This window comes from Homo sapiens, chromosome 4 (genome assembly GCF_000001405.40).
Source record: "Homo sapiens chromosome 4, GRCh38.p14 Primary Assembly".
Lineage (NCBI taxonomy): Eukaryota > Metazoa > Chordata > Mammalia > Primates > Hominidae > Homo > Homo sapiens.
The window spans coordinates 138,654,990-138,668,484 of NC_000004.12; the positions used below are offsets into that span (position 1 = coordinate 138,654,990).

At 42.7% G+C, this 13,495-nt stretch overlaps 5 annotated features.

Annotated features, from left to right (window-relative positions):
- Window positions 2,449-2,997: an enhancer, noted in NCBI's record as "H3K27ac hESC enhancer chr4:139578592-139579140 (GRCh37/hg19 assembly coordinates)". NCBI's record gives its function as "activates a minimal SCP1, AML or CMV promoter by ChIP-STARR-seq in naive H9 embryonic stem cells {active_cell/tissue: H9 hESC(naive)}" and the evidence as "EXISTENCE:reporter gene assay evidence [ECO:0000049][PMID:30033119]".
- Window positions 3,546-4,094: an enhancer, noted in NCBI's record as "OCT4-NANOG-H3K27ac hESC enhancer chr4:139579689-139580237 (GRCh37/hg19 assembly coordinates)". NCBI's record gives its function as "activates a minimal SCP1, AML or CMV promoter by ChIP-STARR-seq in primed H9 embryonic stem cells {active_cell/tissue: H9 hESC(primed)}" and the evidence as "EXISTENCE:reporter gene assay evidence [ECO:0000049][PMID:30033119]".
- Window positions 4,095-4,642: an enhancer, noted in NCBI's record as "NANOG-H3K27ac hESC enhancer chr4:139580238-139580785 (GRCh37/hg19 assembly coordinates)". NCBI's record gives its function as "activates a minimal SCP1, AML or CMV promoter by ChIP-STARR-seq in naive H9 embryonic stem cells {active_cell/tissue: H9 hESC(naive)}" and the evidence as "EXISTENCE:reporter gene assay evidence [ECO:0000049][PMID:30033119]".
- Window positions 4,643-5,191: an enhancer, noted in NCBI's record as "OCT4-NANOG-H3K27ac hESC enhancer chr4:139580786-139581334 (GRCh37/hg19 assembly coordinates)". NCBI's record gives its function as "activates a minimal SCP1, AML or CMV promoter by ChIP-STARR-seq in naive and primed H9 embryonic stem cells {active_cell/tissue: H9 hESC(naive and primed)}" and the evidence as "EXISTENCE:reporter gene assay evidence [ECO:0000049][PMID:30033119]".
- Window positions 5,192-5,739: an enhancer, noted in NCBI's record as "OCT4-NANOG-H3K27ac hESC enhancer chr4:139581335-139581882 (GRCh37/hg19 assembly coordinates)". NCBI's record gives its function as "activates a minimal SCP1, AML or CMV promoter by ChIP-STARR-seq in naive H9 embryonic stem cells {active_cell/tissue: H9 hESC(naive)}" and the evidence as "EXISTENCE:reporter gene assay evidence [ECO:0000049][PMID:30033119]".

Genomic DNA, 13,495 nt, shown 5'->3' on the forward strand with positions numbered 1-13,495 from the left:
GATAAAATAGTCTGCAAAATAATTAGACAAGACTTTGCTTTTGGCCAGTCTCCTGAAAATATACACTTCCAGACAATGACAAAGAGGTATTTGGAACAGTTTTCTTATTGCTTCCAGTGTTTGGAATCTAGGTAGTCAGAAGAGCCATGCATTTAGAGCAGAACTGGCCCTCTAATTTAGGCATTTCATTAACAAATGTGTAGGTTGCTGTTCCAAAAGCATAAAAAGCCAGAAGCTTTAAAATAGAAAGAAAAGAAAAACTGGGCATATGTACATTATTGTGTCTAGCAAAAGCTAGTTTCTTCTGCAGATTTTTAATATAGTCTCATGGTTGCTGAAAAAAGCACTCACTGGAACTATCAACCATAGTAATAATAAAAAAAAGATCACCAACTTTAAACTCACTTCAGAACTGGCTGAGAAATTTGATGAGCTTCCATCATGCTGTCCAAAAAATATGGCATTGTGTTGTTGCTGAGTTCTTGCCCAGTTTTAAAGCATCTTTCCACTCCATGGTAAACAGACTGGTACAGGTGTCTGTGCCAAGCATTTTATCACTGTGACCAAGATACCTTGCGGAATCAAACTAACCCTGTAATCCTGCCTGGATTACTAAACAATCATATAACAATGGATAGTTATGGAGTCTCCAAAAGTACAAAGCATAGTGACTCCAATTTTTTAAATCTAGAAGGGCTTCCTTCTAATCCTTGATTTCAAAGAAAGCGATTCTTTGAATGCTCTACAGCTTCCTGGAGCAGCTTTAATGGTTTTTGAACACTCTGCTTTTCTATTCAAAACCCTCAAAAATGAAAAATGCCATTATATGAAGTACTAGCCACCAGCAGTGGGAACATGACAAGTACCAGGCTTCAAAATGAACCTAAAATGGCAGATTTTTCCATCTAAGGGTCATCTACTTAATGAGCCCTAACTCATGTTCAAATCTCCCCAAGCCAATCAGACTTTTCTATTTGAGCTACATCTTCATCTTTCCTTGAAAAAATATTCTTGAGTTATGCCCTGCCATACACTTCACTGGTATCCAGCTGCCTCCACCTCATGCTTCCTCATCCTACCTCCTAATTTTTATGCCATGTAAGGAAATTTCCAAAGCGGCAGGCCAGGTCTCAGTTGAACAGGCAGGCCTCCATGAAAACTGTTTCAGCACTGACTGAATGGTTAAGTTAAATATTAAAGGCTGAAAGAGCCTTACACAAAGGCTGGAATGTAACAGAAGCCCACCAAGAGTCTTGCTCAGGCCTTTCCTGGGCCTTGAAGCATGTCGAGATAATGAAGGAATTCTTACACTCCTCATACCAGGACCCATCTACGATTAAACAAGTTTTACTGGGGATCTAAAGAAACTCCCCTGACCTCCTTACCTTAGCTGGAGACAAGATAAGGGTGATCACCTTTGGTACCAGGACCCATCTAAATTAAGTAAATTTACTGAGGCTCTAGAAAATGATTGCCAGGACCCAGACCTTAGTTATAGATTACATTGAATCAATCACTTGCGTCTTTAGATGAATGCACACTTGCATGTTGTTAAAGCAAACTAAATATGGCCCGAGAAGGACACCATACTTCTATATTTGAGTCCTTGTGGACAAATTGCAACCTAGCTAAATAGGTAGATAAGATTGAAAACCGAACTTACTAGTATGTGCGTATAACTATAGCTGAGTCTTGGCCAATCCCAGTGGCCATACTTCAACCACTCATACACTGCTGAGTGTTCAAACTGTGTTCAAATAAGGCAAACGCCGAGCTGTAACCAATCCAGCCATTCTGTACCTCACTGCCGATTTCTGTACGTCATTTTCCTTTTCTGTCTATAAATCTCCTAACACCTCGTGGCTGTGCTGGACTCTCTGTGAATCTGCTGTGATTCTGGGGGCTGCCTGATTCGCGAATCATTCATTGCTCAAGTAAACTCCTTTAAATTTAATTTGGCTGAAGTTTTTCTTTTATCAACATAGACTCAGTGCTTAGAAGGTATATAAGCACTGGAAAAACTTTGTAACTTTAAGTTGGTCTGGTGAATTATCCCTGGCCTTCTCCCTATACCTGGTTACAGAAATAAACTCTTCTTTCCCAGTTCATCTGCATCTCATTATTGGACCATGAGAACAAGCAGCCCAACCCTCGGTTTAGTCTGGGAACACTTAGAGGCTTTAAACATTCAGCCTTTTTAAAAATTTTATGTGAATAGTATGAGGAAAATATGTCAACCTACTCAAAGCTTTCTTTAATCGCTGCTCAATTCCTAGTGGACCTGAGCTTCCAGCTGAGAGTTTTAATTCTTCTGAGGTCCCAGAAGAAGTGTACAAGATCCGGTTTATAACTTTGAGCAACTTTTTTAAAACTCCTATTTTCTTCTTTTTTTTTAAATTATTTTCTGGATTTTTCAGACCAAAATTGGCCTAAATCTTTTCTTTCTTTCTCATCCTCAATTTCCCACCCAAACTCTCTGAGAGGCTCCAAATATTTACTTATTTTCTCCCTGCTCCTTCTGCCCTCTCTCTTTTCTTATTTGGACCAATCTGAGCCTTCTCCAATGCAAACCCTCCATTTTAGCATCTACTTCTACCTCAGCCAGCTGACTAATCTTATCAATATAAGGAAGGCAAAGTTATCTCCAAATTTTACCTTAGGATATTGAGGGGGCAGAGGGGAGAGATACATTTATATTCAAATTTATTTATTTATTTATTTATTTTTTTGAGGCGGAGTCTCGCTGTCTCCCAGGCTGGAGTGCAGTGGCGCGATCTCGGCTCACTGCAAGCTCCGCCTCCCAGGTTCAGCCATTCTCCTGCCTCAGCCTCCCCAGTAGCTGGGACTACAGGTGCCTGCCACCACGCCCAGCTAATTTTTTGTTTTTTAGTAGAGGTGGTGTTTCACTGTGTTAGCCAGGATGGTCTCGATCTCCTGACCTTGTAATCCACCCGCCTTGGCCTCCCAAAGTGCTGGGATTACAGGTGTGAGCCACCACGCCCAGCAGTATATTCAAATTTATTTAAGTCTTCGTTTGCACGTGGCTTAGTAATACCATCTGACCTTCAAGTGATCCAAATGTGTCTTTTGCAAATGAAGACAACCTCTATTCACCAGCCAGTATAGCTAAAGTCATAATACTTATTGCCAATTTCATCCTCAACACCATCAGGCACTGAAAGAGCAGGATCTGGAGACAGGGTGGTCATTTAGACTATAACCTGATTTTTTTATTATCCAAATAAAAATTCAAAATGTAAAACCTCTTGAGGATAACTCAAAAATCTTCAAGACTGCATGGCAGTGTAAGAAACTCAGGTGCCGGCCTCCTACTGGAAACATTTTCCACTCCAGCTTAGAGTGATTTCCCTCCTCTTTGCTTACACTTTACTCTTTTAACTGTAAATTGCTTGTAGTTGTTAACCACTTTCTCTCTCCCCAGCTAAATCCAAATATGTAGATTTTTGAACTCAGAAAGCATTTCTTTTTCTCTTTCTCTGTCTTTCCCTTTCTATCTCTCTGTAATGGCCCCAGAGCTTGGAGTCAACAACAATTATAAATTGACAATAATAAGTCAGAAGAGAAACAGAAGAAATGCATTAGGAGATTTTTGGGTTTTCTGACAATGGAGCAGGAGAGGAATGAGGCGAGCGTCCTGGTAGCTAGTTGGACTCAGTGGGTGGACAGCACTGCAGGAGGCAGCTGTGGGGAGCCTCCTCATCATCCTCCTCATCATGCTGCCTGTGGCTCCTCTAAGCTTCTGATTTCCTTAACAATGAATCTAACTGAGAGGAAAATTCCAAGGCACAACCCAACATGACAATTTAACTCTACACAGAATTTTCTTCTTTTTTTTTTCCTGTCTCACCTAGAATTGTCATTAAGAAATACACAAGAAAACATATCTTCTCTCTTACTTCTTGCCCCATCTTCAAAGCAGATGAACCATTTCTGGTGCAGAAAAGGCTCCGATGCTGCTTTTATGAAGGAACATAATGCTAGCTTGGAGATCACACAATTGCAGACCTCTTTCCTTCGGTTGGGAAATATACTGAAGAACAGAAGGTACAGTACATTCCAGACAAGGTCCAAGTCCTTTATCCATCCAGAAACTCTCGCAGCTTGACTCCTGTCCTGTATTGCGAAGGGTCACAGACACTTTCTGCATTAATTATGTATGAGGAACCCTGGAGAGGGATTGAGCCAATGGCCAGATGCAGAAACACTGTCCTGGACCCCTCCCCTAGCAGGAGCAGAGACCCTGAGGGAGACACTTAAGACATCCTCAATTTCAGTGCAGCCACACACAGCAGGGAATGTGAATAAGGGAGGAGGAAGATCAAAGCGCAGGAGATGAACCAGGGAAGAAGCCGAGAAAAATAGACAGGGGGATAAAAGAGAGAGGAGGGCAAAGGAGTGTGAGGGAGAAGAGAAGCAGGAGGGAGACAGGCGGGGACAAAAAGAGACAGGGACGCGGCCAGTAATGAGGTGGTTCGTCCCTGTTTCATTTCTTCTCCTTGATAGTTAAACGTTTTCCTTCGGAGCATGCGTCTTCCCCACTGAAGTGGGTGGGGTGGCACTGGAGGTGAGCAGGCTGTAGCAGTGCTGCTGCCCCCAGGGCTCTGGGTTCTGGTCCTCAGTGGACCCTCACTGTGTCCTAGGCTGACTTCTCTGAAGTCTGGGCACTTTAAAGTATCCACTCCAGTCAGCTCAGCTATTTCAACTAAATCCATTTCCATCAAATTATCACTTCTAAGAGTGATAGAAAAATTAATGATTTCTTGAAGGGACTATTGTATTTAAATATTTCAAGCCTGTTGGTGTGATGTGTGTCAGCAAGAGAGAAACATATTGACTTGGAGCTGCAGCTAATGACGGCTTTTATAAATATCCTGTCAGATACATAATGGCTCTCAATGGATCCAATATGATGTACAGTTCTAAAGCAAGCAGGGTTTTGCCAAGAGGCTCAAAGGAAACTGCCATCACAATAGCATGGGCTGAATAATGGGATTTTCATTTACCTTTCCGACCACAGAAAGGAGCAGCGGAGAGGGTGACTCAGCAGGCATCAAGGAGAAGGTGGATTGATTCATCAGATTCCACAAAGGGCCCCAAAAAACCCTAGCTGAGAGCCTCCAGAATACCAAAGAACATTTGCATTTGAATCCATTTGACAAATGAGCAGCCAACTTGAAGCACCAGAGGGTCGCTCTTGCTCGGACAAGCATACAGCTCCTCTTGGCTGGCAAGAGCTGTAGGCCATGCAGGAAAAGCCCTGGGGTCTGCGTAGCTCCAATAGGACTGAACACTGTTGTGACTGGGCAGTGAACACATTCCAATCAGCGACTTAATGTCCCACTGTCCCCCTTTCCTCTTTTCTTTTCTGTCACTTGCCTTTTTGTCCATTTTGCTTCATATCAGAAAACAAATCTAATGGGGAAACATGAATAAATGTCAGTTTGCTTCCTCTTAAGAGTTCCAACAAATATTAGGTAAGGAGTGGGTGGGTGGAAGGAATAAAATTGCTGGATGGAGAGAAGATGCTGTTATTGTCTGTGGATGTCAGTTATCCATAGATGGTTAGGAACTGACCTAGTACTTTACTCTGGCATGCATGCCTGTAATTCATCTTCAAAAGGTATTTAAGGATGAGAAGTTAGAGGACTTTAGAATTCCAAACAATCCCATTCGAAGTGAAACAGTCACTTACCAGGATTCTTCTGACCTACTCTGGGTTTTAATGTTGTCTTCTCTTTAAAGCAATTAAGAATCTCTGCTTTCTAACAGATAAATAGAGTTGAAAGAATAATTAAAATGTGGAGCAGAAAATACCCTACCGTGTTTCATATGAGAACATGGCAAAAAAGGAGCCAAGCAAATCCACAGAAATTCAAAAGACCTTATCTCAACTGCAATGTTTTTGGTAACAAGTTAAAATACCTTTTTAAAAAAATGAAAGTCCAACGTGTTAGTGTACTGCCACTATAGTAAGTTTCCTCATGTAAATTATCTCTAAGTTCCTGCTAAGGTTCTATGTAGGCTTTTAGTGATGGGGAAGAGAAATCAACTTCATGCACATTTCCTGGATGTGCTTTTGGCTGAACCAAGAGAAACACTTTTCCCACCTCCTCAAACATTATAACCTTTAGTTTACAAAATTACTGTGGCATCACTGTGTATCAGTTTATATTTATAATGCCTCCTGTGAGTGGGCTCTTGCAAGAGGTGTGGCCTTTGCACGGCCTACCAGAGACACAGAGAGCCACTCTGCTGCTTGCACCCAGGCACAGTCACACTGTGGAGCCTGGAGAGAGGACTCTTCTACCCTGTACAGGTGATGCAGCATAAACCCTGGGGTCTCAGTCCCAGGGAAAGTTTGACAGCCCTCAGATGAGAAATATGAGAGATGCATTACTTGCCTTTGTATTTCAGGTTTATAAAGGAAATGGCCTCAAATAACAACCAATCAAATGGCCCCATGCCTCCCAGGAGTTCAGCTCCTCATGTTACCAGAAAGAAGTCCCAGTCTAGACCCCAAGAGAGGGTTCTTGGATCTCATGCAAGAAAGAATTCAGGGCGAGTCCATGGTGCAAAGCAAAAGCAAGTTTATTAAGAAAACAAAGTTTTGAAAGACAGCTATCCTGTAAACAGAGTAGGACATTCCGGAAAGTAAGAGGAGGAATGCGTCCACCCTAGGTACAATACTTGTTTATATATAAGATTTAAAAAAAAATCATGGGGAGATGTGCTTTGCTACGAGGGTTTGTGATAAATGATTAATTTTCTTCATTATTATATTTTGCGAGAATCGATATTATTATCCTTAAAGCAAAATTAGGAATGCTTCTGTTCTCAAGATACCAGGATATCAGTACACTTCTAAGTCTGGGTCTGTTTAGTAAATGTTATCAATCTGTTCCCTTAACTGTAAACACCAGAGGCTAGCAGTACCTAACTTTCTGGGAATGCAGCGTAGCAAGTCCCAACCTCATTTTCCTAGTCCTCACTCAAGATGGAGTTTCTCTGGTTGGAATACGTCTGACACTTGGACATGTTTTTTAAAGTTAAAAAAAAAAAACATGCAAAAAAGCAAACAGAACTGGTTTATATTTTCTTCAGGGCCTCAACCCATCTGTCTGAATTGAGCCCAGAAACCTGAAAGCTGGGCATTACCTTAAAACCTTTAGTTATTCACATTGGTGACTCCTGATTGTCCCCTCACACAGACAGCCAAAATATCTTCCCATCTTCTGCAAAATTATTCTTCCAAATTCTCATTGTTCATCTTGCAGATATGAGGTTGTTGTATCCTAGGAAAGAATGTCAGCCTCTTGCATCCCCTACAATTGGTGAGAGAAGCCCTGACCTCAATAGCATGAGAAGACCTGGATTCTGATGCGAGCTCCACTAGCAGCCTGCTCTCCTGACTCCCCAGTGATCATTTCTCCTGTGTACTCTGGGGCTGATACCTACCCTGTCTTCCTGCTTTGCCCTTGAGGACTTTAGATGAGCAAAATGCAAGAGACATTCCTATGAAAGGTGTGTGGCATCATGCAATGTGTAGTATTTATAATCCTTTTGTCCACTCGGCCTTGTCACCCTTACAAAGACAATACATCTCACCTTGGTACCCAACTGCCTTTTGCTTCTCAGTGCTAGAGGTGCTACTGCTGTCTATAACCACACTTCTCTTCCTTTTCATTCTCTGCTTATTGGTACATTTCTAAATGGAGACAATTTCTGGACAGTTACATTGTAAGGAGGAAAGCTCTTCTTTCAAAAGTTATGGAAAGATCAGCTCTAAGTGAGGGCAGTGCCATTCATTCATTAAACCACTCTTTATGGAGTGGGTACTGTGAGCCCACCACTATGCTGTTATGCACTTGAATTCAGCAGTGAACAGCACAGGCAAGGTCCCTGCTCTTGTGAAACTTATATCTTGAGTTGAGAGGAGAACAAGAGAGAAATAGAGTAGAAAAGAAAACAAAAATAAACCAGATAACCACACAGTGCGGTGAGAACTGTATGTAGAGTTCTGATACAAGCCCCAGATAGGCCACGACTTTGGGGAGGGGGAAACACCAACATGCACATAGTAAATTCCCTGTCAACCTGCAATTGACCTGGGAAACTGCACTCCTCAAAAAGTGACTTCATGTAGGTTCCTTTTGAATGGGCACTTGTGATCACATAACCCAGTGAGTGAAAAGTCACTTGGCAGTGTAGAGACCTGTGTCTTCATATCTGAAATGCCAAAAAGTAGGGTTTAATATGTTGTTTTCATTTTAATTATATTTGTGTTCATCCACAAGTATAGAAGCTAAAAAAGTAAAAAGGATGAAAAATGCATTAGTTATCCTATTTCCATGATTCTACCCTCTTGCCTAAAGACCTTCTCCAATTTTTCTATCAGACTTTAAGAATATCAAAATAAAGTTTTTGAAGGGTTGTTTCCTTTTTTTAAGTTTTCTATGTCTTCATAGCTGTCAAAGTATTTCATCTTTTTTCTCAAAACATTTGCAAGCCTTGCTGTCACCCACTAATGACCTATTTCAGACTCTTATTTCCCTCTGAAGGGATTTCCTATATTCTTTATTGCAACTCCTCTGATATGACATTATATTCTAATTGGAATAACCACTCCAACACTTCCTTTACCCTCAACCCCTAAACTGCAAATGATACCCCAGTATCCTGACCCCTAATTTCAAAAATAGTTTCCTATTTCATCCTCATCCCATATTATGTATATCTGCTTCTCTTTTTTCTTCTCCAAGATGTGGCTGTCAATTGGCAGCAGATCCAGGAACAGCAGCAGGCTATTCACACCCTCAGTTCTGTATCCTGCTCAGTTTTCCTCCAGCTGACCATAGGCATCTTACCCAAAGTGAGCAATAGCTATTTTGGAAACCTTTTCCACACCAGCAGGCAAGGCTTTGAGACTGTAAAAGAAAAAAGCATCGGAAAAGGCAAAAATCCTCACTCACAGTTTTCAGCAGGAAACAAAATGTCTCCAAAATCATGCAGCCACACTGTGGCCAGACAAAGACAGCAGGAAGAACCACCCCCACACCTCCAGCCATCCTCCACTGTGAAGCAAGATTTCCTTTCCTTTCACAGCAGCTGTGGATGGCGTTGTGGAACCTCACATCATCGTGAGCACAGGACAAATTTTTTATTCTCAAATAAAATACGAGGAACTGAAAGTATTCCAAATCACAGCTTTAAAAATGTAATTGTGTGACCTTTTGACAAGGTCTCAGCCCATCTTTCCAACATTACCATCCACAGTGCTCCTTCATGCATGGCAGATTCCTAACAAAACACTGGAGCATCATTCCCTAAACAAAACTGGCACTTTCCAACCTCTGAGCTTCTGCTCTCCAAGTCCTCTCTCTTAGACTGTTCTTCATTCTCAGCCCTCATCTGAGGCTTTTTCAACTGCTGCCTCCCCCATGAATTTTTCCCCACTTATCCCAAGACAAACTCTGTCTCCCCCTTGTTTGTGCTCTCCTAACACATTGCTTACAGATCTACAATAAAATTAGTCACATTCTGTCTTATGTCAAAGCTGTTGACTATAAACTCATAACAGATTAAGTCCTGGGTCTCAATGATCCTGGTTTTCCATCTAGTGTCTAGCTTATGTAATAGGCAATATTGAAACATGTTAAATATAAGCGATCGTAAATAATGACTTTTCTTCAGTGATAGATTGTAGAGGTAATGAAGCTTCTCTTGTGAATATGTGATTGTCTCTTCTCTCTTGTGTGATGCTGAGACGCTGAACAGAGTAACTGGTACGTAGCAATAATTCCTCATATTTTTGCAATTCTGGGGAAGGAGGAGGAAGAGGATGATGATATGAAAACGGGAAAAAGAGAGAGGTGATCCCTATGGTGGTTTAAAGATGGCCACAAAATTTTGACAGTCCTCCCATGAAGAGGTGGGCTCTCGGTGCCCTTTTCTTGAATGTGAGTGGGCTCTGGAACTCCCTTGACCAATGAAGTAAGGTGGAAGTAACGCCGTGCCAGTTTCCAAGCCGAGATCTTACAACACTGGCAGCTTCCACTGCTGCCTCTTGGAAAACTCATTCTTGGAACCCAGTTGCCACACTGTGGATGCTCAAGTAGCCCAAGGAGAAGCCTATGTGGAAATGAATCAGGAGTCAAAACCAACAGCCCCAACTGTACCTCCAGTTAACAGCCAGCGACAATTTGCCAATCATATGTGTCAGCCCTGTTGGAAGTGGCTCCTCCAGCCCCAGATGGACCACCCTAGCCTGACACCATGAGAGCAGACAAGCCATACCTCCAAAACCCTACCCAATGCAATTCATGAGCAAATCAAATGAGTGTTGTTATTTCAAGCCATTAAGTCTTGGAATCATTTATTTAAAAGCATTTAATAACTGGGACAGCCACTTACCTGACTTTCTTTTTGTCCTTTCAGATAAGTCCCACATTTCAAATATCTAAAAAATTTCTGAGATTTTTCAATATTCAGAATATTTCAGCTTGGTCAGTTGATGAACGAGCTACTCTTTTTGAGTGAACTACAAGCTGTATATGGTGTTTAAACCACACCAAAAAATCTCTCTGGGTGACAGATGAACCTGAGTAGGATGTGGACCTCCCACCCTACTCCAGCTAAAGCTGCTTCTCTTCCATCTGTTTTCATGTCATGAGTTCCCCTTAAAAATCCACTGGAACAAAAGATCCAATAGCAGCAAAACGTACAAAAGGTGCTGTTCTAAAGTATTAGGCCCAGTAAATTTGACTCTGTGGCCCCTGCTAGTAGCTCGGATTACTTTCACAAAACAATGAAACAACCACTTAAATCATCTTCCGTTTATAAGCAAAACTAAACGGAAACCCTAGTTAAATTTTCTACAACCTCTCATATGCTGGGCACTTTTGCTTCTGCCTGGGATACCTGGTACATGAAAGGTAACTCCTGTTGCTTTCAGAAGCTCCGTCTATTCGCAGCAAAGCAGTGACACCTGCTTGGAAAAATTCCTCCCAGGAGTCATGGATGACATTTCTGGGAAAGATCCCAGAATGGCACATTGGAAATTAATAAGCGTACCAAGCAAATGGCTCCTGTGGAAGCTGTACCCTCTTGTTCATTCAGCAGAATTGTATTGTCAGTGTAATGACCTACCTGTCTCCCTGGACCACTACTACTGACTGCTGAAGCCATTTGACATTCTGTCTTGTAGGTTGAGGCTTGCTTTAGACACCAGAACCCCATATATCCCTAGTCAGGGGTAATTTAGGGACATACAAGTCAGAAATACAAGTGTTTGGGATGGAATTTGACCTTGGTAGTTCCAGTCTCACTTTATGATCGTATTCTAGTAACTAAACATGACCTTCCTCCCTTGACCAGGTGCCTACATTTCTCCCCAGGTTACAACCACTGCATTCCAACCTTGCTCCCCACCGCAACAAACAGCCTTATCCTCATTTCTTCAAAACCAGAGCCCTGTGGTTTGTCTAGTCTTTCAGTCTGGCAGACTCCCTGACAATGATGCATGCCTTCCTGAGTCTGAGTGTCTTGCCTTTTGCCAGACCCCCTGCCACCACACTCCCCCTCCCTGCAGAAGCACCACCTGTCGCCTCTTGCTCGCCCACCCTGACACTGGCACTTCTCCAGCAGCCACACACTTTTCAGACGCCACACATAACGTGCAGGTCAGACTGCTCCCATTCCTGCAAGCAGGGTCACCCTCTCAGGGCCTACCTTGCCACAAGGGTGTGGACTCGTCCTGAGATGTCGCTTTATCTTTTTCTCAGGACTACCAAAACAAAGTACCACAGACTGGGTTGCTTAAACAAAAGAAATTTACTGTCTCACGGTCCTAGAGGCTAGAAATCCGAGATCAAGGTGTTGGCCGGGTTGGTTCCTTCTGAGGGATGTGAGGGAGAATCTGTTGCAGGCCTCTCGCCTTGGCTTCTAGACGGCCGTCCGATCCCTATGTGTCTTCACATCATCTTCCCTCTCTGCATGTGTGTCCAAATTTCCACTTCTTATGAGAACACATTGAATTAGAGCCCACTAGAATAACCTAATTTTAACTGACTTACCTTACTGAAGACCCTGTCTTGAAATACAGTCACATTCCGCGTTACTGGGGGTTGGGACTTCAGCATGTGAATTTGGGGGGACACGATTCAGCCGATGACAGCTGCCCTCCTGCCAGTGTTCTTCACCCCACTCCCTACTTAGGTCTGAGCTTTTAAGGGTATCAGAGCAGTGATTTTCAAGTCAATCTCACATGTATAATGAGAGGATCCCAGTTTACATCTAAAATGTTCACTGTTGGGCCAGGCGCGGTGGCTCACGCCTGTAATCCCAACACTTTGGGAGGCCAAGGTGGGTGGATTACCTGAGGTCGGGAGTTCGACGCCAGCCTGACCAACATGGAGAAACCCCGTCTCTACTAAAAATACAAAATTAGCCAGGCGTGGTGGTGCATGCCTGTAATCCTAGCTAGTGGGGAGGCTGAGGCAGGAGAATAGCTTGAACCCGGGAGGCGGAGGTTGCAGTGAGCCGATATTGCACGATTGCGCTCCAGCCTGGGCAACAAGAGTGAGACTCTGTCACAAAAAAAAATAAATATAAAATAAAATAAAATAAAATGTTCACCGCTAGGCCTCAGATAGGCGCATGTCTCACAGTCTGGTAAGGCAAGCCTGCCAAGAGCTCACCTTTACCTGACATTGTTTGGACGTTTGTCCTCTCCAAATTGCATGTTAAAATGTAATCCCCAGTGCTGGAGGTGGGGCCCAGTGGGAGGTGTTCGGGTCATGGAGGCAGATCCCTCATGAATGACTTAGCACCATCCCGTTGATGATGCATGACTTCTCTCTTGGTGAGTTCACACGAGATCTGACTCCTGCCTCCTCTCTCTTGTTCCTGTTCTCGCCATGTGAGACACCTGCTCTCCCTTCACCTCCCACCATGATTGTAAGCTTCCTGAGGCCTCACTGGAAGAAGCTAAGAAGATGTTGGCACCATGCTTGTATAGTCTGAAGAACCATGAGACAATTAAACCTCTTTTCTTTATAAATTACCCAGTCTCAGGTATTTCTTTATAGCAACACAAAAATGGACTAAGACATTACCTAAGAGGCTGAGGAACCTCTAGGAGTAAAGGACCCAAAAGAGGGCTGACAGACGAGTGGCCAGTGGCCAGAGAGGAAGAGCATGGTCTCTGTCACCTGGATATTTCTTCTAACCCCCATACATTCTTATTCCTTGGGGAAAAAATAGACCTCAAATTAAAACAGAGGAATTATTTTTCTTTTTTAAAATGTTTTTAGCTTTAGTAGCACAAAGTGATGCTGCTTTGGTACCTGGCTAGTAGGGAACAACATGATTCTTATTCTCCCACCTAAAATAGCATAGCTAAGTACACAAATAGCTTGGAGAACTCAGGGAAGTTCTGAGCATCAAGGGCTCTGGTACATCAATTAGATAAGACGTA